The 23,021-nt window shown below is 51.6% G+C and overlaps 2 protein-coding genes across 21 annotated transcripts in view, besides 2 other annotated features; one reads left to right on the top strand and one right to left on the bottom strand.

Annotated features, from left to right (window-relative positions):
• Positions 1-11,038, bottom strand: part of EFCC1 (EF-hand and coiled-coil domain containing 1) — a 39,439-nt gene extending 28,401 nt beyond the window's left edge. For 4 of the 9 annotated variants that reach the window (NM_001377500.1, NM_024768.3, XM_011513163.4 and 1 more), the window contains exons 1-2: positions 10,018-11,038; positions 8,265-8,548 (exon numbers count right to left, since the gene is read on the bottom strand). In NM_001377500.1, coding sequence (NP_001364429.1) covers positions 8,265-8,548; positions 10,018-10,713 — 980 coding nt within the window. In that variant the 5' untranslated portion in view covers positions 10,714-11,038. Of the gene's footprint in view, positions 1-4,734; positions 5,786-5,863; positions 5,931-8,264; positions 8,549-9,024; positions 9,163-10,017 lie in introns of those variants that run through there. The other 5 variants (XR_924178.4, XR_007095727.1, NM_001377501.1 and 2 more) reach the window with 4 other exon arrangements.
• CFAP92 (cilia and flagella associated protein 92 (putative)) overlaps positions 1-23,021 on the top strand; it is a 116,876-nt gene that overhangs the window by 14,407 nt on the left and 79,448 nt on the right. For 5 of the 12 annotated variants that reach the window (XM_017006945.2, XM_011513050.3, XM_047448638.1 and 2 more), the window contains exon 2: positions 19,006-19,299. In XM_017006945.2, the coding sequence (XP_016862434.1) occupies positions 19,006-19,299 (294 nt within the window). Of the gene's footprint in view, positions 1-8,339; positions 8,578-10,089; positions 10,292-11,036; positions 11,298-11,671; positions 11,711-18,265; positions 18,363-19,005; positions 19,300-20,444; positions 20,864-23,021 lie in introns of those variants that run through there. The other 7 variants (NM_001394090.1, NM_020741.3, NM_001348522.2 and 4 more) reach the window with 6 other exon arrangements.
• Positions 18,051-18,260: a silencer, noted in NCBI's record as "silent region_14714". NCBI's record gives its function as "represses an Ori minimal core promoter by ATAC-STARR-seq in GM12878 lymphoblastoid cells {active_cell/tissue: GM12878}" and the evidence as "EXISTENCE:reporter gene assay evidence [ECO:0000049][PMID:35858748]".
• Positions 18,837-19,598: an enhancer, noted in NCBI's record as "H3K4me1 hESC enhancer chr3:128711587-128712348 (GRCh37/hg19 assembly coordinates)". NCBI's record gives its function as "activates a minimal SCP1, AML or CMV promoter by ChIP-STARR-seq in primed H9 embryonic stem cells {active_cell/tissue: H9 hESC(primed)}" and the evidence as "EXISTENCE:reporter gene assay evidence [ECO:0000049][PMID:30033119]".

Below are 23,021 nucleotides of genomic sequence, written 5' to 3'. Positions count from 1 at the left end.
CAGGACCAGCTGACAATGACATTTAAGGAGGGCTTATTATGTGCCAGGCATCATTCTAAATGCTTTCTATTATCTCATTAGATTCTTACCCTGTGCGGTAGGTACTAAAACTAACCTATTCTCCAGATGAGAAAACTGAGGCACAAGCAAGTTGAGCTGAAGCTTCCTAAGAAGCATCAAGACACCAAAGAAAATGTGCAACATACATAGGTTAGCAGATGAGGCAGGTCATGGCCAAGGGTGACTGGTCTGGCACTTCAGGCCACCCCATGTCCTTTGTGGCTGCCTCAGGCCTGAAAAGGCTGAAGCTTATTTCCAACCCACCTGTGGGAAGTAGCAGAAAGAGCTACAGACTCGTGGACTGAATCCAGCCTGGCTGTGCCCCTGATTTACTGGGTGAGCCTGGGCAGATTACCATCCCTGTCTAGGCTCCTTCCTTCTCTGAAGGATGCATTTATTGCACATATTAGCTTGTGCAGTCAAGGCCCCTCTCTCTGGGAGGGGTGCAAAGCCTCAGGCTCGAGAGAGGGTATATCTCTGAGCTGTCAGCCCAAAGTGTGGGCCCAGGCTCTGTCCTCCGAGAAGTGCAGCTGGGGGCATGTATTTGAATGAGGGCAGGTTTCTCTGGGGACACCACTGATCAGCCACCTCGACAGAGAGCCCACGGCTCCTCCTCCTCTGCCTCCTTGCTTTTCAAGGCCTGCCCCTTTGTGATCCTGCCCTGGACAGGGCTTGCTTTTCTGGATAGACAAGAATGAGTGTCCCTGCTTCATTCTTTTTTTTTTTTTTTTGAGACGGAGTCTTGCTCTGTCACCCAGGCTGCAGTACAGTGGCACAATCTTGGCTCACTACAACCTCCACCTTCTGGGTTCAAGCAATTCTCCTGCCTCAGCTTCCCAAGTAGCTGGGATTACAGGCACGTGCCAGGACACCTGGCTAATTTTTGTATTTTTAGTAGAGACGGGGTTTCACCATGTTGGCCTGGCTGGTCTTGAACTCCTGACCTCAGGTGATCCACCCACTTCGGCCTCCCAAAGTGTTGGGATTACAGGCGTGAGCCACCACACCCTGTCCAATACGTTCCAATATTTATTAAGCCTTTCATTATTATAGGCACTTTCAACACAACAGCAAGTTGAATCTTCAAATACTCCATGAAGTGGGTATTATTATCATTATTATTCTCATCTCATTTTACAGATGAGCTGAGGCTCACAGAGGTGAGAATGGCTTGCTGCAGGTCACACTCCCAGAGCTCCACCACCACGCTGCCTCCCCCATCACACTCAATGTTTATGCCAAGACAGAATCCCATAGCCACTTTATAGCCGAGGAAACTGAGACTCACAGAAGTGAAGGGAACAGCTCTAGCTCCTACCACACATGTTGAAGAGCCAGGAATCAAAGCCAGGTTGGGCTGGGCCTTCTGAGCCTAGGCCCCCACCCACCAAGCCCCCTGTGCATCCTGAGGGCCTGGGGCATGCAGTGGGTGCCTGAGTGGGTCTGCCTCTTTGTGAGCCTGAGTATTGTTCCTGGAGGAGGAAAGGCCTCTTTTCTCACCAAGGCCACCCACACACCCACCTCCAAGGACGATGGAATCCGAGGCCTCCCAGCTCCAGATGGTGCCCCATGCCCCCTCTGCTCGCCCCCACTCATCTGCCTCCCTCCCACCCTGGACCCGCTGAGTTTGGCCCACCCAAAGGCTGCCAGGTCAGGCCAGGCAGCAGCAATGGGGCAGAAGAAAGGAGGTAGCCCTCAGATGGCCTCATCTTTGTGTCCCCTCCACGGTGGCCAGCCAATTGCCGTCCCTCCTCCCTCCCTCTCCCACCCCCTTTCCTCCATCCCAGCCTTTTCACCCTCCCCCAACAACAAAGCCAGAGGCCAGGCCGCCAGGCCTCTCCTCCCTGTTCCGGCTGAGCTGAGCTGGCTCTCTGTCTCTTCTGTCTTTTTGGGCACCAGCCCCTGCCCAGTGGTGCTGGCCCTAGGCTGCCTGCCCTGCCCCGGTGTCCTGAAGGCCCCATCAAGGGGACTCAGCTGCTCCTTGGCTTCAGAGCAGGGTAGGGGGCCAGGCCAGGCAACTGGTTGAGATATGGGCGGTTTCAAAAGGACGAGATGTCACAAACCCACCAGAGACCTTCTACTGAGGACTGAAGGGGGACCCCTCAAGGCAGGACAAGGCCACTGGACCACTTAGGGGTCTCCTTGTGCTGAAGTCCCAGGCGTTACGCCCTTTCTTCCAGTTTTGAGGACAGCATCCACTCCCATGCCCGCTGGTCCATTCGTGTGTCCACACACATCTTACTGTGTGCCAAGGCTGGGCTGGGTGCTAGGCCACAGAAGTGCCAAGCCCTTGTGCTCCCTCAGGAGGGCTCCCAGCTACGGACAGAACCTGGGGATAACAATCTTTTTCTGTCCACCCTCCCCAGTGAGCCCTGAATCACCTGGATGGGCACAGGTTGGCGAGGTTACAGAGTCCCCCCGAAACCACTCCCAAAGCACCCAGCATCCAGGAAAAGCTGACCTCCAGACAAGCCTGCTCTGTGTCTAACCAGGTTTCCTCCCGGGGCTTCAGAGTTCACAGTCTTGAGCTGCCACAGGTGGGCTATTCTACCCAGACAAGAAAAGGACTGGGCTGCGAGCTCCAGAGAGGGGCAAAGGGGTGTGTTCCTTGAATGTGTCTGGGGTACAGTGCCCCTTGATTCTCTTGGGAGGATCTCATTTCCAGAGTTCAATGGGCCTTGCTCTCACTCCAGTGGTGGGTATGTGACTAAGGTTTGGCCAGTCAGAGCATCAAATTGTCCTGGCCCCTGTGATGAATTCAGGGATGAACATGTTTCCAAGTTGGCTGAATGAGGCCCAGTTCCAGGACTTCAGTGGGATGGTTCAGATGACAGATGGTCTTTCTACTGGACTGAGCTTTGGGGATATTAGCCTGGCACCCCAAGGGCTACTGGGGGAGAGAATTTGCCAGAGAGTAAAGCAGAACTTCAGTATATCGTGGTAACACTACGTGAGTACCTGAATCCAGCCATGTCTGAAGCTGGACATGCCTACACTTTTCAGTTCTAAGAACTAACTTCCTTTTCACCTAGGTCAGTTTGCATTAGGCTTTCTGGCATTCACCCAGGAGACCTGGATGATAGAAAGGAAGAAAAGAGAGAGAAAACAGAGGAGAGAAGAAAGGTGGAGAGTGGTTGGAACTAAGTTGGGAGAAGTGCCACTGAAACACCTTGGTTGGGCAGGGATTGAATGACATTTTATGAATGGTGATGTCAAATTTTCCACATGAAGCTGTTTGCATTACTGCAACAGATTCCCGCCCCGCCCCCCACCCCGCCAATAATCAGTAATGTCTACTATGCATAAAAATGTGTGTGGGGATGGACTATTTTGTGGGATTTGAAGAATAAGGAGCTGAGTTTCTCATCTCAGACAAGGTCATGTGAGTGGAGACCAGCTGTGGGAAAGCAGGATCAGAGGCTGATGTGGCTGCGAGGGGACCAGGAGCCTCTTAGGAGGACTGTGCACCTCAGCAGGCAGGGGCTGGGCCAGGGAGTACCTGAGTCTTCCCCAGCTCTAGGAGGCCTGAAGATGCCTTTTGACACCTGGGAGGCTTCTATTTCACCTGCAACTCCTACAGCTCTGAAAGCAGCAGGAGCTCCTTTGTGGCCCCTCAGCACATGGCACACCTGTGCCCTAACATGTCTACTGCCATTTCTGTGTCCCAAGGATTGTGGCACGGGGATTGGTCCACAGAACGTGCTTAGAAAATACTGTTGAATGAATTAAATAAATGTCTCCAATTGCTTACATATTTATTGTCCATCCTGTTAGGCTGCTGGTCAAGATGGTGGTTTGGGGTGCTATGAGAAGCCCCTCTTCCATCTACAAATATGTTGAAATGCTGGATAAAATAGAACTATTTAAAAGAATATAGAGCCAAAGTCAAAATCAAGAAGAGGAGACCTCCAACTTGTGTGGAAAGCAGGAGATGGAGCTGAAACGCCCATGGAGGGATTAGGGACAGGAGACCTTGCATAGTGAGTTACAGAAGGAGACTCCCTGCATGAGGCCAGGGGCCAGCAAGGGCTGTCTTATCCATGAACAAAAATGAAAAATATTCCACCTATTGGTCTTGGGGTTTTGTTCCCAGGTATGGGACTCAATCTCTCACTACCTGTGCAGCTAGGAAACTCCACGCTAAGTATCAAAATTAAAAACTGGTCTAGAATCAGGGCCTGGTGGAGGCAGATGGAAAACTGCTCTGAAGGGAACTCTACAGCCAGTTCTATGTGTGACTCTCAAGGATCATGGCCCTGCCAAAGACGGCTCACAGCCCAAAATGACAGTGCCTGCCAAGAATGCCTCATCATGACAAAGACAGCAGGTGTAAAACATCTCAGGAAGCTCAGATATTACAGCAATCCACAAGAGACTTTAAAATTAGTATGGTTGAATGCTACAGAGATAAAGGATTAGACAGAACCTACAACACAAGGACTGATAAGGATGAAAAAGAAAGTACAGGTCTGAAAAAGAACTCAATAGAAGCCCTAACATGAACAATAGAGTCATCAAGATCCCATTTTAGGAAAGTGGCAGCACAGTTTGACTCAAAGTTAGGAAATTCAACGCAGTCTAAATTCAGCTGAGTTTGGGTATGTGACTTTAGTAAAACCACTCCCAACCCCAAGGGTCTATTTCCTTATTTGAAACATCCGACATAATACCAACCTTAGAGGGAAGATGAGAAGATCAGCGTGAGTCAGTATCTGTGAAAGTGCTTTGAACACTGGGAGATGCTGGAAAGGTGTTTGTTGGGTCATTTATTCTAACCAAATGGCTTCAAGCTGTCATTCTCAGGGGGAGTTCAGTCATTGCTCTGTTTTCTCCCCAAAGACACATCTGCAGAGCACCTAGAGACATTCCAGAGTGATGTCACTTAAGAGGGTGTGATGGGGCTCTACTGTTTGGGGCATGGGGCCCTTTCCTCCCGGTAATTCCTCTAGAATGCAGCCCTCTAGGCCAACTGCAGAGGACGGGGCTGATTCAGCTCAATAGTCACGGACATCTGAGCTTCTGGCACTTGAAAAGCAAAAGCAGAGGTGAATTGTAGCCTACAGTCCCTCCCCAGCCAGTAAAATGTCCGGCCGATGTTTCTGGGGTAGGAGAATCCAGAAGGATTTGTGCATACTACCAAACCCAACTTGAGCTTGTGGTTGGGGCCATCAGGCTGGGCTGTGAGTCCTGCCCTTGCCACTAAGTCGCTGTGCCACACTGGACAGCTGCTTCCTCTCTGGTCTTGGTTTTCTTGTCTGTGAAATGCTGACAGTAACACTTTTCTTTTAGACTAGAGGCCCCATGAGCTTACATGAAAAAGTGCCTGGTATGCAGTTGATGCTCAATAAATGCCCATGGCTATTCTGTCTCCTCTCCTTTTCCTTCTTTTCAGAGTGAGAGCTTTGGGGCAGGTCAGTCCACAAACCAGCAAACTTTGACCACAGAAAATGGGCAGAGGAGGTCAGCCCCCCGGGCAAGGTAGGGTTGAAGGCATGTTTCTAGAGGGGCAGAGAAATTAGTGACACAGCCATCTGCCTAATCACCGTGTGCCCTTCACATAGCATCACTCATTCTCTGGTCCTCAATTTCCTCATCACTAGGTGTTTTCTTCAAAGCCTCTGCAATAGCTGCTCCTACTTCTTCCTTACTAACAGAACCCCACTTTTGGCCGGGCACAGTGGCTCACACCTGTAATCCCAGCACTTTGGGAGGCCAAGGCAAGCAGATCACCTGAGGTCAGGTGTTTGAGACCAGACTGGCCAATATGGTGAAACCCCATCTCTACTAAAAATACAAAAATTACCTGGGCATGGTGGCATGCATCTTTAATCCCAGCTATGGGGAGGCTGAGGCAGGAGAATCTTTTGAACCTGGGAGGCAGAGATTGCAGTGAGCCAAGATCGCACCATTGCACTCCAGCCTGGGTGACAGAGCAAGACTGTCTCAAAAAACAAACAAACGAACAAAAAACAGAACTCCAGTTTTGTTTGGGACTGACTAACAGGACTAGCCTCGCAGGTTTCTTCTTATGCCCGATCAGCAGATGCAAGGTCTGGAGGCACAGCAGCCATCGTGTAACTGTGAATCGAAGCACACAGGCAGTGGGGCCAGGCTGATTTGACTTTCCTACTTTCTGGCTGTGTGGCCTTGGGTACATTACTTAACTTCTCAGTGCCTCATTTCTCACAATCTGTAAACTGGGGATAAAACATCTACCTTGTACAACCTTATGGGGACTAAATGGTGCATTGGCTATGAATCCACTTTTTCTATTGTAAAGGGCTATGCCAATGTTTGTAGTCACTTGTAGCATTCTGCTATAGAGGACTAGTTGTGATTTTAGAAATAAACAAAGAAGAGCCCCTTTATTTCTCCTCTTGGATAAAGTTCCAAGGCTGGATGTGGGCCTCAAGCCAACCAGCCCTGCTCTTTAGCCATCAGCTATGCAAACAGGAAGTGGCTCTCCAAACACTGCATGCTGCAGGAGGCTGGCCCAGAGTCTGCCTCTTTGGAGGCCTCCCTCTAGCCCCATGCCTTACCATCTCCCAGCTGTGAGCTTCTCAGATGTCCAGTAGGTTCAAGGCCACCCCTTCTGGCTGCTCCACCCCCAGCCTGGGCTAGACCACCTTCCTCTCAGGATCAGGGATGGCAGGAGCCCCTCACTGGGCTCTGCACTGTCTCCTGCTCTCCCCATCTGCCCATCTCTTTGTCACATTGTAGCCAGGGTAACTTTTTATTGAAATCTGCTTCTGTCACCTCCTTACTTAAAACTTTTCCATGGTTTCATGTTCTTTCTCTTAAGGGAAAAACTGAAATCCTTGCTGCCACCTTCCAGGCCCTAAATGGGCCTCCCTTCAGCTCTACCCCTCCAGCCACTCTGGCCTCCTTTTAGTTTTTGAATGGTCCCTTCTGCCCTAGGGCTTTGCCCGTACTGTTCCAATTTTCTAGAATGGAATGTTCTCTCTTCTCCTCTCTCCATCTGGCCCGGTAACATCCTATCCTCAAGTGTCACTTCTTTGGGGGCAGGCTGATGAGTGTCCCCCACCTCCTGCCTGCTGCCACGCATCTGTTCCTGTGAAGGTCTCACCTGCTCACAGGTGGCTGCTCAGGGCAGGGAATTCAGTCTGTCCTAGTCACGTGGTCACATCCCTGATGCCTGGGATGGCCCCTGGCACACAGAAAGTGCTCAGCAAATGTGTAGTCAGGCCGGCCAGCAGGCAGGGGTGACTTGTGATTTGAAAGGGAGAGAGGCTCTGTCTACCAAGCATCTACCATGTGCCAGGCAGGACCTCATGGCCTCTTCACAGCCACTCCCACAGGCAGGGACCCCAATCTGTGTTCCACCCAAGAGGAAGCAGGGTCTGTGAGGGGTGGTGACTTGCCCACACTCACACGTCTGCCAAAAGCCCTGCCAAGATTTGAACCTGGGTCCCAAGTCCAGCTTCCTGCCCTGGTGGAGCTAGCACAGGCAGTCATTACACACCTGTTTCCTCATCTACAGAGTGGAAACATAGCAGTACCCACCTCACAGGGCAGCTGTGAGGCTTAAATGAGTTAAGCCACATAAAGTACTTAGCTCAAGGCCTGGCAAACAGCGAGTGCTTAGTAACTGTAAGCTATTATCATTATGATCGAATCCAGGAACAAATAAGAATGAGCACATTCAACTGCAATCTATGATAAACAAATAGAGGGTGTTTGTGGATGAACAGGAGGATGGATGGACGGCTGGCTGGCTGGGTGGGTGGGGGGATGGATGGATGATGGATGGGTGGGTGGGTGAGTGGATGGGTGGGTGAGTGAGTGGATGGATGAATAGATGGATGGACGGGTGGGTAGGTGAGTGGATAGGTGGATGGATGAATGGGTGAGTGGATGGATGGGTGAGTGGATGGATGGGTGGGTGGGGGGGGTGAGTGAATGGACAAATGGATGGATGGATGGGTGGGTGTGTGGGGTGGGTGAATGGATGGACAGATGGATGGATAAATGGATGGGTGGGCAGATGGTTGCAGAGCAAGCAATGGAGCAGACTTATAACTTAAGAAATGGAGAACTGACAAAGGAATGAAAGAATACATGAATAAACGCATGGAGAAACTGCGGAACACGAGAGCGCGTGGGAGGGGGATTGCACACCCGAAGTTTGGGAAAATGGGAGCCGAATTGGGGAACTTGGGCCCAGGGCACGCGCCCCCGCTCACCTGTAGCGTTGCAGCTCCGCCTCCAGCCGCCGCACCCAGCGCTGCAAGCCGGGCACCTGTTGCGCCAGCGCCTCCAGCTCTCGCACGCGGTGCAGGCTGCGCAGCACCACCTGCCGGGCCTCCTCCGCGCGCCGCCGCACCTCGGCCTGGCCACGGCGCAGCCGCCCAGCGCGGGCCTCCGCCGCAGCCAGGGCGCCCTGCGCCTGACGCAGCTCCCGCACCGCAGCCTCCGGCCCGCCGTGCCCCATCTCGTGGGTGCTCGCCTGGCTCTTCCAGAGTCCGACCTGCGGGGACAGGGCAGCAGGGGCAGGGGGTAAGTGCCCCAGCCAGATGCACCAGACGAACGCCCGCCACGACGGCGGCCCCATGCCTCTGCACCCAGAAGCGCTTGAGCACGTTTCTTGCGCCGTCTGCTTCCGGGTGCCAGGCCCTTAGGTCCGGTGCGTCCAAGCTCCTTTAACCCTCGCCACATCCCCAGGGAGGCCCAAGCTCTGATTCCTCCTCATCCCCCACCCCCCAACGTTTTTTCACTGAAGGAAACTGAGACACGACGCCTGTATTCTGTTCCCTCTATAGTACCAACCTCGCGACTCTTCTCGGCCTACTGTATTGGCGGCGTTCAGCCTGCCGGGTGGCGGTTCCTCATCTCCTAGACTCCCCCCAGTGGCATTTCCAGCCCTCCCCGTGCCTGCTCACTAGAGGCTTTTGAGGGTGGTTTCTATCTGTCTTTACTGGTGTGTTCCCAGAGCCTAAAACAAACCTGGCACATAGTAGGTGCTCAATAAATACCAAGCATGAGAGATGCCGGAAGACCGTTCAGGCGCATCCCATGGCTCCCAGTACGTTACTTGGGATTCCACATCAGAGGAGTAGTTTCCCGCCTCCACCCTGGCTTCCATGCACACTGACACTGAAAACCACACCTTGCCACTTCCCTGCACTCTGCAGTGTCCTGAGCTAAGGCGGGGTCATATAATGTCAGTTTCTTCCTGGCCTGTTGTCGCCTGGGGTAGGGGCTGTTCCTTTCCTCCTCTGACCCCTGCGGCCCAGCACTGCCCTTGGTGCTCGGCTGGCACAGTGCTTAAGTGTTTGTCGACGGCTCCCAGATGCTAAGGCTGGGTCCCTATCTCACCCCATGGTTTCTTCTCAATAGCCCAGAGCGGGTCTGGTTCCCGCAGGCACTTGGTGGCCCGTGAGTGCCTGATCCACAGTGTGAGCCACATTGTCTGTTTCTCACTTGTCTCTGTTTCTCCCACAGGGAGCCCCATAAGTCTTTGCTGATTGACAGAAGGAGCTGTCAGTCTACCCCAGGAGGCAGGGATATCCCTAAAGGTGAGGACAGGGCCTTCTTCACACTTCTGTCTCCTAAACCTCCCAGAAGCCTGGCAGGAAGGAGAGAGAAAGATGCTTGTTGAAAGGGAATATGTGAGACTACCCAGACAGGTGCAATTCCTAGGTTAAAGGGGCAAGACGCGATGATGTGGCGGTGGAGCAGAAAAGTGGGGTATGGTTGTTTGAGTGTGATTGGGGTTTTCAGGAATGGAATAGGTGGTAAGAATAGGGTTGGGGACTGGAGTGGAATGGGGAGGAACAGGGGCAAGATGCAAGTGTGCTGATGCGGAGTGGGATGGTGTGGGGCTGCCCTCTGTCTCCCCTTCCTCTGACTCTGTCCTGTCGGGCTCCGCAGCCAGCCAGCTTTTAGTTCGAGCCCTCTCCCGGGCGTTACCACCCTCCCTTCGTGGCCGGCGCGCACCTGCAGTGCTAGGCAGCGCGCATCACTGCTCTGCAGCGCGGCGCGCAGGTCCTCCACCAACTCGCGCAAGCTGCTATTCTCCTCCTCCAGCCGCGCAACGCGCTCACAGTCAGGACCGCTGTCGGGGCCAGGCGCGCAGGGCGGGCGGCGGCGGCGGCGCGGACGGCGCAGGCGGATCTGCGTCTCGATGTGCTCGCTGAGAGCGCCGCGGGGCAGCCGGGGCCCCGCACGGGTGCCGAAGTAGCCACAGAGGCGCGCGTGGAACTGGCGGAAGGTGAGCTCCGGCGGCTCGGCGCGCAGCGCCAGGCGCGCCTCTTCATCGGTATCTGAGTCCCCGTCCGTGGCCAACTCAGCGGCCGCATCCCCGGGGGTCACATCTCTGGAGTTCCCGTCACCTGCTGCCTGCCCGGCCGTGGTGGCCCCCTCCGCGCGCAGCCCCAGCACAGCGCAGAGCGCTCGGAAGTCGGCGCGGGGCAGACGGCCGGCGCCGCGGCAGTCCAGGTGGTGGAAGACCTCCTGCAGGTACTGGTCCAGGCCGGTGGCCAGCACCACGATCTCGTTCTCCACGCCGCGGTCCAGCCCGTAGTGGTGCGCCAGGGCGCTCAGCAGCCACTGCGTGCGCCGCGCAGGTCGCCGGTACGGGTCACCTCCCGCGCCCTCCATGCCGGCCTCCGCGCCCGTGCTGACCGGCTCCATCGCTGCGCCGCGCGCCTCGCTCCTCCGGTCCCTCCTCCGGTCCCTTCGCCCCGCCACTTCCAGGGGCGGCCCCAGAGTTTCTCGAAAGGAGGGGCTTAGCGGTCGCGGTCTGGTTGGAGCGGCGCCGGGGACCGTGTCCAGCAGCTGCGCTGGCCTCACAGTGCGTCTGGTTTACCCCAGTTGCTTTGGAGGGGCCTGGGGTAGGGGGTCCAGGAACCCCCGGGACCCCGGCAGCGCCACCAGTGCCCGGTCGGCGTCTGGGTCTGGCTTCTCCGCGTGACTCCCACGCTCTCCTCTCCTCACTCACGGGGCGTTCCTGGCGTCTGCGCTTTTCCTCCCACTCCCGGCCGTCCACTCTCAACTCCCTCCTCCCTCCGCCCCGCCCGCCTGGCGCGGAGAGTTCGCTCCGAGACCTGGGCGAGGGGTTGGCGCGGGATCCGAAGCCCAGGAGGGCCTTGGGGGTGGCGGCCTCGTCCGGTTGCTGGGGATGTGCCCCCACACCCAAGCGTCACTCTTCCCCCTCTTCCCGGAAGGCCTTTCGAGGGTTGCCTGGCAAGCCTGCTCTCGCCGCCCTGTAGCCGTAGGTGCGGAAAAGCCTCCCCTCCGCTTCAATTCAGCTACTGGGTTTCCGAACCCACTTCTTGTGCCACCATAGACCGTGCAAAGAGCCCCAAGTAGTAACTGGGAAAGAGAGGGAAACAGGCTTGGAGAGGCAAGGGGTCTAGGTTAGGGGCACCCCGCTGGTGAGAAGCCCATCTGAGACGAGCCCTGTGCTAACTGCTCTCTCCCGATCCCTGTTGGGGGTGGGGATAGGACTCTCGGGAAAGTGGTGTCTCCCGGCCCTGCCACCTTTGTGCCTGCCGGTGCTGACTTGGCAATGGGATCCGAGTTCCATCTCTTGAGCTGGGGTTAGGTTAACAGGTCGATGATTGGCTGATGTTTTTTTCTGGTGTTTTAGAACACATTTCTGGAAGATGAAGAAAAACCTGCTTCTCTGGTGAGTGCTAGACTGTGTTCCCTTTCTTTTTCACGAGAGGGGTGCAGTGATATTGTGATATTGTCCACCTGTTACCTGCACCGGGAACGGTTATCCAGCCACGGTACCCAGCCATGTTGGAGCAAGAGGCAGACTCTTCAGCTGTTCCTAGCTATGACAGAGACAGAATCTTGCCTTGTGGATAACTCTGTGAGTTTAAATGTAAAATCTTGCCGTTTGAAAAGCGATAGCATTCTGTCTCCTCTGCCACAGTATCCCAGAATCAGCACGTTGTCCATTTGGCAAATTCGTACTTGTTCTTGAAGGCTTTGCCCAGAGTACATATCTGCTGGGAAGGAGTTAGAGGCTTCTCCCCAAGCATTTTGGACATATTCTTTTAGGTTTGTTTTTAATTATAAAAGTAATGGCAATTTGACAAAGTTTTTACATCACGTCCACTTCTTGGCTTCTACCTTCGAAAGCCACTGTGCACAGGATGTTCACTGCATCATTGTTTATTACAGTGAGAAACTGGAGACAACCTGGTGTCCATCAAATCAGCTAGGACTCAGCAAACGAGGATGAGCGGACACAGCAAGCCACAAGCTGATTATGCACAACACTGATGCTTACATAACAAGAACAAAAACACACAAAACAATACTAAGTATTTTCTACTAGGACATGTGTATGTGAGTGCACAGAAGAAGATGGAGGGATTCATAAGTGGATTCAGTGGTTCTTTCTGCAGATGGGAGACACTGCAGTATTTCCCTTTTGTTAAGATGTTCTCATGTGTTTCTTTTTCTTGGCCGGTCGCGGTGGCTCACGCCTGTAATCCCACCACTTTGGGAGGCCGAGGCGGGTGGATTGCCTGAGGTCAAGAGTTCGAGAACAGCCTGGACAACATAGTGAACCACCCCCATCTCTACTAAAAATACCAAAAGTTAGCTGGGCGTGGTGGCAGGCGCCTGTAATCCCAGTTACTTGGGAGGCTGAGGCAGATGAATCGCTTGAACCTGGGAGGCGGAGGTTGCAGTAAGCTGAGATCCTGCCATTGCACTCCAGCCTGGGCGACAGAGCGAGACTCCGTCTCAAAAAAAAAAAAAAAAAAAAAAAAAGAACCTGATTTTATTTCATGTCAGCCCTAAGAGCTGGTAGCCCAGGCAAGAGTGCAACACCCTCCCCACCCCCCATCCCTGCAGCTGGTGAAGGAATCCTTTGAACAGTAGCTTTCCTGGGCCAGTCAATATTGAAAAGAAAGCTTTTAAATGTCTTGCTGGGAGCCGTTGCCGGCCTCCACTCCCCTACAGCTCAGGGAAGTAAGGGTTGATAATGGTTTGCTGTCAGGCCTGTCTGTCTGCCCTGCGGTGTTACCAGGCACCTCTGAAATAATTCTGGTTGCATCCACAAGGTTTTTGTTTAAGGTTCAAAGTGAGCAAACTCAGAGGTCTCCTTGCGTTCTTTTGTATGAGCTGGGGGGATGGGCGTGTGTCTGTGTGGGAGAGAGTCAGGGCTGTGGCAAAGAAATGATTTTCTGAAGTCAGTTCAGTATTGTTTGAGCCATTTCAAATAGTATATTGTTTAAAGTGTCTTTTAAAGGTCCGGGAAAATGCTAAAAAGCAAAAATCATCCACCATTCTGCCACCAAGAGAGGATCACTGTGTATTTCTGATGTATTTATTTCCAGACTTTTCTATGTATTTGGGCATGAAAGAACTTTTTGGAGTGATTGAAATACTCTATCTTCATGGTGTAGTGGTTGCATGACTGTGTACATCTGAATTTTACAGTGTGCAAATCGTAGCTCATTCAACTTGACATGAAAAGCACAGTGGAAAGGGCGCCATTGGGATCTTTCTTTGCACAGGAACTGAGCTTTGTAAACAGCTTGGCTGTGGTTTCTTTGCAGACACTGCTCCAGAGGCTGCTCTGTGCTCCCTGGGGATGAACTATAAGGTGCTTTGTCATCCCCCACAGATGCCCACTGAGGTGGTTTTCAGCTTTTCTCCGCAAAAACCATACTGTGAACAGTTTGTGCCATATCTTGAGTGATTTATTACTGGGCCAAGGAGTATACATATTTTATAAGCTTGTGGTATTATCAGCCTGTTTTTTGGAAACTTGTGTTGTTCTATCCAGAGCCCAGAACTGTCTGGGAATGTCCTTGGGCCATTATTTTCAGTGTCATAAAGCTTTTGGGTTTTTAGGGGTCTTGGTTAGTAGATTTGCTTAGTGTTCAGACACCAAGCTTTACTTCTATTAAAAATAGGCCTGTTGTTAGTCAAAGATTTCTTAGATACGACACCAAATGCATGATCCAAAAAAGAAAAAAATGATGAATCGGACCTTCATCAAAGTTCAAAACATTTGCACTTCAAAAGACACTATTAAGAAAATATGACGAACAAGAGACTAGGAGAAAATATTTGTAAAACATATGCCCAGTAAAGGACTTATATTCCGAATTTACAATGAACTCTTAACAACTCAGTAACAAGAAGACAAACAATCCAATCAAAAAGTGGGTGAAGATACAAACAGACATTTCACCAAAGAAGTTGTATAAATAGCCAACATGTGCATAAAACAATCTCAGTATTCTTGTTAGGGAAATGCACATGAAAACTATGATGAAATACTATATTATACTCATGAGAATAGCTGTAGTGAATAAAACAGGCAATAAATCTTGTCAAGAATTTGGAGAAACAGGAAACTTCATGTTGTTGATGGGAACACAAAATGATGCAGCCCCTGTGGAAGATAGTTTGGCAGTTTCTCAAGAAGTTAATCACAAAATGACCATACGACCCAACTCTTCCACTCCTAGATATCGACCCAAGAGAGATGAAAACACATCCACACAAAGACTTGTGTGGGAATGTTCATAGCAACGTTGTTCATAAATGTCTAAATGCCCAAGCCAAATGCCCATTAACTGATGAATGGATAGGCAAACTGTGGTCTGTCCATACAATAGAATATTATTCAGTCATGAAAAGGAATGAAATACTGACACATGCCTCAACATAAATAAACCTTGGAAACATAACGGTAGGTGAAAGAAACCAGTCACAAAGCCAGAACACAGTGTCTGACTCAATTTATAGGAAATGTCTAGAAAAGGCCAATTTTTAGAAACAAAGTAGATATGGTTGCCTAGGACTGGGAGTTGGAACAGAGATTAATTATAAATGTGCATGAAGTCTTATTAGGGGGATGAAAATGTTCTAAAATGAATTTATGATGATGATTACAGCACTAGGTAAAGTTACTGAAAATCATTGAATTCTACGCTTGAAATGGATGGATTTTATTAAATAAAAAATACTTCAATAAAGCTGTTAAAAATGGGGAAGGGGCAAGAAGAAGGTGTATGTAGCTGATTCCCAATATGCTTCCAGCTGCCAGAGTCTTGGGATAGCTTCAGGAAGGCCTCTACATAGCCTGTGGGAGCTTGGGAACCCTCCACCCGGCAGAGTAAGGATGAAGGGATGGATTGTTCAGTGACCTTGAACACCTCCTGCCCCTGGATGCTTGTCCCTCTGCTTACCAGATGTACAGTCCATGTCTTCATCCCCTTGAAGTGGGGCCAGCCTCATGACTTGCTTTGGTTAATGGCATGTAGCAGAGTGACATGGTGCTGGTTCCACGCCTAGGTCCCAAGAGGCCTTGCAACTTCTTCTTTGCCCTCTGGGATCCCTGCTCTGAGAATGCCATCTGAGGAAGCCAGGCCGGGCTATGAGGAGATGAGGCACCACATAGAAGGAAGCTGGTGTACCACTGGGGGCGGGGGAACCCATGGAGGGGAACCAGCGGGCCCACGAAGAGCCAGCAGCAACTGCCAGACATGCAAGTGAGGACTTCTGGCAGCTTCCAGCCATGTTGGTCCTCCAGCTGAGCACAGCATAGGGAGTGAGCCCAGGCGAGGCCAGCAGAGAACTACTCAGCTGATGCATGGAGTGGTGAGAAATAACAAGTGTTTGTTTGACACCATTAAGTTTGGGGATGGTTTTTACTCAGTAACAGATAACTGAAACAGAAGCCCCCCTTCCTTTGCTTCTGATCTGCCAGCCCTGAAGCCATCTTCACTGAGGTAGGGTTGTAGACCCACCACTGTCTCATACCTGAGTAGTGGGTAGCACACCTTTGCCCTCACTTCATCCTGTGATGCCCTAGGTCTTGACCCAGACACCATCTCTCTCAGGGCAGTGGTTCCATATTCTGGTTGTGCAATACAATCTTGGTGGTAATTTAAAAATATGGCTCCCGTTCCTATTATTTATTGCACAACAAATCACCCCAAAACTTAGTGGTTTAAGAGAGCAACAATTTGCTTATAAATCTACAATTTCTCATGATGGAGACAGCTTGTTTCTGTTCCTCAATGTCAGCCAGGGTGGCTCAAAGACTGAGGGCTGGGATCATTTGAAGTCTTGCACTCTCATATGTCTGGGGGTTGAGGCTGCAATTGGCTGGGAACCGTCAGTCACAACAGTTTCATGTGGCCATTTCACATGGCTGCTTGGGCTTCCTCACAACATGCTAGCTGGATTCCTAGCATGAATACTATACCTCAAAAGAACAGGGCAGAGGTAGATGGAATTTATATGACCTGGCCTCAGAAATCACATAGTGTCATTTCCTCTGCACTCTTTTGACTGAGCCAGTCACAGAGGTCTGCCCAGTTTCCAGAGAAGGAGACTAGACCCCCCAACTGGGTGGGAGGAATGTGAACCTCACAATGCCTGCCGGAAGATTATGTGGGAGGGGATCTTTTGAGGTGGCTGTCTTTGGAAAATACAATCTGCCACTGGTTTCTAAGCTCCACCCCTGGAGAGTCACTTCCACAGGTCTTTAATGAAGCCTCAGAATTGTATTTTTGACATGTAGGTGTTTCCAGTGCACATCCAGGATGGCACATTGGCCCTTGGTCCAAGACCTCTGGCCTCTCACTATTGAGCTTGGGAAGAGATTGGCTTCTGTCCTAGGTGGTGATGTGATCTAGGAACCTTTGGAGGGAAACCAGCCTCAGGCCAGTGGGTAGGACCTGGGGAGCAGGAGGCCTGATGTCTGTCCAAGAGTGGTGGTAGTGTTGAACTGCCCTTGTTAAAGGGCCCTTTTGGGGGCTGGTGTATCTGAGTAGCTTTGTATTCTTCCAGCCCTTCATGTGTCTCCTGAGCACTTCCTGGCATACAGACAGCAGTCTCCAGGCTGCTGCAGGTGGGGTGTGGGCAAGGTGGTTGCCGTTCTCGTGCTAAGAGTTTGAACCCACTCCTCACAGGGCCCACTGCCATTTGGTGTCTTCCCTAACAGCTGTACTTGAGGCTGTTTTTCAGACTGAACCCGAGGAGTATTGGAGCACCCAGTATTAAAGGGGCTGTCCCATGCCCTGAGAGCGGTCTGGGGAGGCATGCACTGGGAGGCTCAGGACTTGGGTCTCAGCCCCAGCTGCGCCACAGTTTTGCTCTTTGACACAAAGTAGGTCATAGCTCAACTCAGCTAAAGTTTTCTTAATAGCCAAGCTTGTGTGTAGCCTCAGCTCCCATTCTCTTGAACAAACTGACTGCCGGAGCAGGGTGCCCTCCCTCAACAGAAGACCTGCCTTGGCTCCCCATTGCCCATAGTCCTGTGCCCTAACCTGCCCTGTGGGGCTATGTACCATGGGCCCTGCACACTGCTACAGCCTCGCCACCCATTCCTGAAACTTGCCATGCCCTTTCACCTCTATGGGCCTTTGCATATGCTGTTCCTCTACCTGGGATGCTTTCTCTTGCTTTCACCGCCTCTGCCTAGTCACCCCCCAGATTTGGCGTTGCTCACTTCCTCCATGAGGCCTACCCCAGCCCTCTGTCCCAGCCGCTTGCTGTGCTGAGGTCCTCTACATTAGGAGCCGCAGCCAGGGCTCTCAGCTTGGGTGGTTTAGCAGACGAGCGGAGGCTTTGGAGTCAGGCAGTCCGGATTTCAACACAGTGCTGCGCCCTACTTGCTGTGTGACCTCGGGCGAATCGCTTCACCTCTCTAAGCTTTGTTTTCTGATCTCTGAGTTGGCGCTCATGATCACTAACAAGAATTCTCATGCTATTTTAAGGACATCAGCGACAGAAGCAGAGAATCTAATGAGAGGGATCGTGGGGAGGTCTGGTTTTTAAGGACATCGGCGACAGAAGCAGAGAATCTAATGAGAGGGATCGTGGGGAGGTCTGGAGTTTGCAGAGCCCACAGCTTCCTTTGCTTTTATTAAAGAATGGGAGGTGGGAGCTGATGGAGGGGGAGGAAGGAGCCATCAACCCCTACCTCCCATCGTACGGGCAAGGACCAGGCTTATAGTAGGTGCTGACGTTCCGAGTAGAAACTCCTTAATGAGTGAATGCATGAGTGAAGGAATGAAGGCAGCTGGTTTCTGAACCTGGATGTAGCCATTTGACAAACTGCGCGCAGTGGCTGAGGGGGAAAGCCCCGCCCCGCGGAGCCCCGCCCCCAGGCCGCACGCCCTCGCGTCTCCTAGCAACCGCCAAACGTAGCTGAGTGGCTGGGCCTGCGGCCCTCCCTGCACCGGCGGACGCTCCTCTCAGTCTTGGAGTCTCTTCGCCCAGGTGGCTGTGGATCCGGTACGGGAGTTGCCGCCGCGGTCCAACTCCCCGCTGCCGCCCAGCGCATCCGCTCGCAGGTACCGCCAGCACCTGGAGGGGAACCCCGACCCCTGCCCCCACCTCGGCCGCCGCAGCCCGGGACTCTTCCCGCCTCGCCTCGATGCGTGTTCCCTCTTCGGCGTTTGCCCGGCGTTCCGCCTCCATGGGCCTGAGCTGATGCCCCGAGCCCAGCACCCAGTGCACATTCATGTTCTGTCTTGGGGACAGGGCTTGCCCTCCCCGACCTCGCCAGGCTCCTGCACGTGCTGCCCCCGGCCTGGTTTGCCTCTCCCCAAATAGCAAACGCATCTTGTGCTTAGGCGCAGCAGGCCTGCCTGAGCAGACGTCCCCTCTCCCGCCTGGTGGCTCCCGGGAGCTGCTCACCTGGGGCAGGCATTCCAGAAGCCCGGCGACTGACTCCTGGTTAGGCGAAGGAAACGGGGTTGCTCGTCGTCGTGCTTACTGCCAGCCACCCTTATCTGTTGTTCCTTCATCCATTCATTCTCTAAGTCGATTGAGTACCGACTGTGTGGCAGGCAGTGAAGGAGCCCCGGCGTTCATCTAGGAGCAGGCGGGGGAAGCAGGGAAGAGAAGGGTGGGTGCTTCTGCAGGAGGCCGGGCTTACCTCCTGGAGCAGCCCTGGAATACAGGCGGGGACAGCCTTCACTTTCTCCCTGCCAGGAGCGCCGGCGGCCAGCAGTGCGCTCTGCAGCATGTCGCTACATGCCTGGGAGTGGGAAGAGGACCCCGCAAGCATAGAGCCCATCTCCTCCATCACTAGCTTTTACCAGTCCACGAGCGAGTGTGACGTGGAGGAACACCTGAAGGCCAAGGCCAGGGCCCAGGAGTCTGACTCTGACCGCCCGTGCAGCAGCATCGAGTCCTCATCTGAGCCTGCCAGCACTTTCAGCTCCGACGTGCCCCACGTGGTCCCCTGCAAATTCACCATCTCACTGGCCTTCCCTGTGAATATGGGTAGGTGCTAGAGCAGAAGTTTAACACCCTCTGAAAAAAGGAGGTGCATGACTTTCTGCAGGAGTTTAGGGCGCATACACCCCACATCCTCTCTCCACCTGCCCCACCCCAAAGCGGGCTGGCCAGTGCCAGCCAGGAGCAGAGGTTGAAAAGAAACAGCAATTTTAGGAGAGGCCCAACTGTGGCTGCATCAGCTTCACATACTTAATCCTCTCAACAACCCTAAAGCAGGTGATGTTCTGTCTGCTTTTTACAGAAGAAAAAAAAACCATGGAGAGGTTAAGGCATTGATTCTCATAAGCGCTTGTGCATCACCTAATACCTTGTTTAAAATACATTTTCCGGGAGTCTGAGGCAGGAGAGTCTCTTGAACCCCGGAGGTGGAGGTTGTGGTGAGCAGAGATCACGCCATTGCACTCCAGCCTGGGCAACAAGAGCAAAACTCTGTCAAAAAAAAAAAAAATAATAATTCTTTTTTTATTGAGATGGAGTCTTGCTCTGTCACCAGGCTGGAGTGCAGTGGTGCGATCTCAGCTCACTGCAACCTCAGCCTTCCGGGTTCAAGCAATTCTCGTGCCTCAGCCTCCCAAGTAGCTGGGATTACAGGTGCACGCCACCACACCCATCTAATTTTTGTATTTTTAGTAGAGACTGGGTTTCACCATGTTGGCCAGAATGGTCTCGAACCCCTGACCTCAGGTCATCCTCCTGCCTCAGCCTCCCAAAGTGCTGGGATTACAGGCATGAGCCACCGCACCCGGCCAAAAAATACATTTTCTCTGATCTGTTGAATCAATCTCTGAATGTAAAGGTGTATCAATTAGCTATTGCCACAAAAATGCGGTGCAACAAACCCAAACAAGCCCCCAAGCTCATGGCTGCACACAGGAACCTGAGGTTCTCCTGGAGGTGCTGGGCGCTGGTCTAGGCTGGGTTCTGCAACAGCTCAGCTCTGCTTCATGCTGCTCCTTTTCCTCCTGGACCAGTGGGCTATCCTAGACCCCTTCTTGTTCTAGAAACACGGACACACAGGAGGGCAAGCCTAGCCCCACAAACACTCCTCAAGTCTTTGAGTGTCTCCCACCTGCTAGCATTTTATTGGCCAAACCAAGTCACATGGTTCCAGCCCAATATGAGGGGAGGAGACAAGTAGTACTTCACATCTTGATAGACCTTGCTTTGTTTTGTTTTCATCTGCTTACTTGAACTAGCCCACCATTATGATTTCAACTTCTCCTGGTATTCTGTCGATGGTGTAAGTTTCTTGTATGGGTTGGAACCCCGAGAGCGCACCAACAGACAACACGAGGCGGTGTGGAGCAACATGCTGTTTCAATGAACGCCTTGGTGCAGGCCGGCTGAGGCCTAAAATGGCGTCAGCCCCAAGTGAGGACGGGGCAAAGGTTTTATAGTCTCCTGTAAACAGGAAGTGTCCTAGTCTGGCGTAACTGCTACGCTGTACCCGGATGGCCTCTTTCTCATCTTCATGTCTTCCGGCCAGGGTAGGTGTATTCCAGCCGGCTCTCCTCCTGCTTCTGCTATTTTGCTGGTGCACGCTGCTGACGTAAGTGACCTTACGCCTTGGGACTAGGCTTGAGAAGGGAGGAGTTATTCATCTCCTTAAGCTTTCAGGCCCTGGGGAGAGTCTTACAGATGGTTGCTTCAGCTATTTTGGAGGCCGACTGGTTGGGTGTATAGTATGTTTAGAACTGCTCCATCTTCTTGGTGAACTGAACTTTTTGTCATTTTATGGTGACCATTCCTGTCTAAAATGATGCCTTTACTCTTGGGTCTATTGCTATAAAGCAAAAGAGCCTGGAAAAAGACATCTGGCAAATACCAACCAAAAGAAAATTGGCACTTGACCTCCTTTAGCCCTCATCTCTTTCACAGCATCTTCTAAGCATGTTTTTGTTTTTGTTGTTGTTGTCCTCTAAAGGCATTTATAAAATGGATCTCTGTGGGGCAAAACTTCATGAGACCTTGTGTGCCTAAGAGTATTTTTTTATCATGCCAATACCTTTAAATGACATACCTTCGGCTCTACATAAAATTCTAGTTTAATTTTTTTTTCCTTCAATACCTGAGTATTTACAGATGAGTACATAAATGTTTCTTTATATAAATTATTTATTTATTTATTTTTGAGACGGAGTCTTGCTCTGTTGCCTAGACTGGAGTTCAGTGGCACAATCTCGGCTCACTGCAACCTCCACCTCCCAGGTTCAAGCAATTCTCCTGTCTCAGCTTCCCAAAGTAGCTGGGACCACAGGCACATGCCACCACGCCCAGCTAATTTTTGTATTTTTAGTAGAGATGGGGTTTCACCATATTGGTCAGGCCGGTCTTGAACTCCTGACCTTAGGTGATCCACCCGCCTTGGCTTTCCAAAACGCTGGAATTACAGACGTGAACCACCACGCCCGACCTATAAATTGTTTATTTCAGAGAAATGAGATCCTACAACTTACTTTAAAATGTTTTGACATGATTTAGATTATCTTTGAGAATATGATCAAGGATACTTGTTTTTGTTTGTTTGTTTTTAGACAGAGTCTCTCTCTGTCACCCAGGCTGGAGTACAGTGGCGCGATCTTGGCTCACTGCAACCTCCGCCTCCTGGGTTCAAGCGATTCTCCTGCCTCAGCCTCCCAAGCAGCTGGAACTACAGGCACATGCCACCATGCCCAGCTAATTTTTGTATTTTTAGTAGAGACGGGGTTTCGCCATGTTGGCCAGGCTGGTCTGGAACTCCTGACCTCAGATCATCCTCCTGCCTGGGCCTCCCAAAGTGCTAGGATTACAGGCATGAGCCACTTTGCCTGGGCAAGGATACTTGTTTTAATTTTGTTGTTTCATTTTAAACACCTATATATTAACAGTATTCCATTATATGTCTCTAATTTATCCTACCCCTTATTGGTGGATATTTGAGTTGTTTCAAATGTTTTTCTGTTGCAATTCTGCGATAGACATTCTTTACGTCCATTTTTGTGCATATATGTGGGCACTTCTGTTGCCTGTATTCCAAGAAGTAAATTTGCTGGATTGAAGGCATGTATTAATAGTTTTTGATAGATATTGTCAACTTCCCCTTTAAAAGGGCTAAATAACTTGCCTTTCTGTCTACAGAAAATGAGAGGCTCTGTTTGTCCACTTGCTGGCCCACCTGGGATTGAATCAGAAAAGGTCTAATGCTACCAGAGACTGGCAGGAGAAGCTTCACTCCAATCTCTGCACAAATGCTAACTATTTTGGTAGCAGAAAAATTAATGCTGCAGCAGTCTCCTGGGGTTAAAAATTTAGACTTTAAAAACTACAGCTTTAAAGACAGTCATGTTTTTATAGAATGATATTTGGATTAAATGTTTATGGAGCTTCTTATGATGTGAAAAGCCCCAACCTAGAGTGTGCAGTTTAAGCTGGAGTGTAAGCAACCAGGGGTGGGGTCAGGGGGCTCCTTGGGCTCTGGACTCTGGCAGAAGCCCATCTGTACCTTCCACATCCTGTCACCCTATCCACCCCGCATTGGGTAGCTTCACCCATGACATTTTTGTGAAGCTGCTTTCTCTGTCTGTCTGGAATATCTGCCAGCTTTGCTCCTCTAAGACTCTGCTAAGGTCCCCCTGGGAGGCCCACCCCACCCTCCCCATGCAGAGTTTTCTCCTCCACCTTCGTTCTTCACAACCTTGTTCCTGCTGCTATTATTGCACAAATCACAT

Source organism: Homo sapiens, chromosome 3, assembly GCF_000001405.40.
Source record: "Homo sapiens chromosome 3, GRCh38.p14 Primary Assembly".
NCBI lineage: Eukaryota > Metazoa > Chordata > Mammalia > Primates > Hominidae > Homo > Homo sapiens.
The sequence above is the reverse complement of the archived record's forward strand: the minus strand, read 5'-3'. Positions and strand labels throughout refer to the sequence as shown.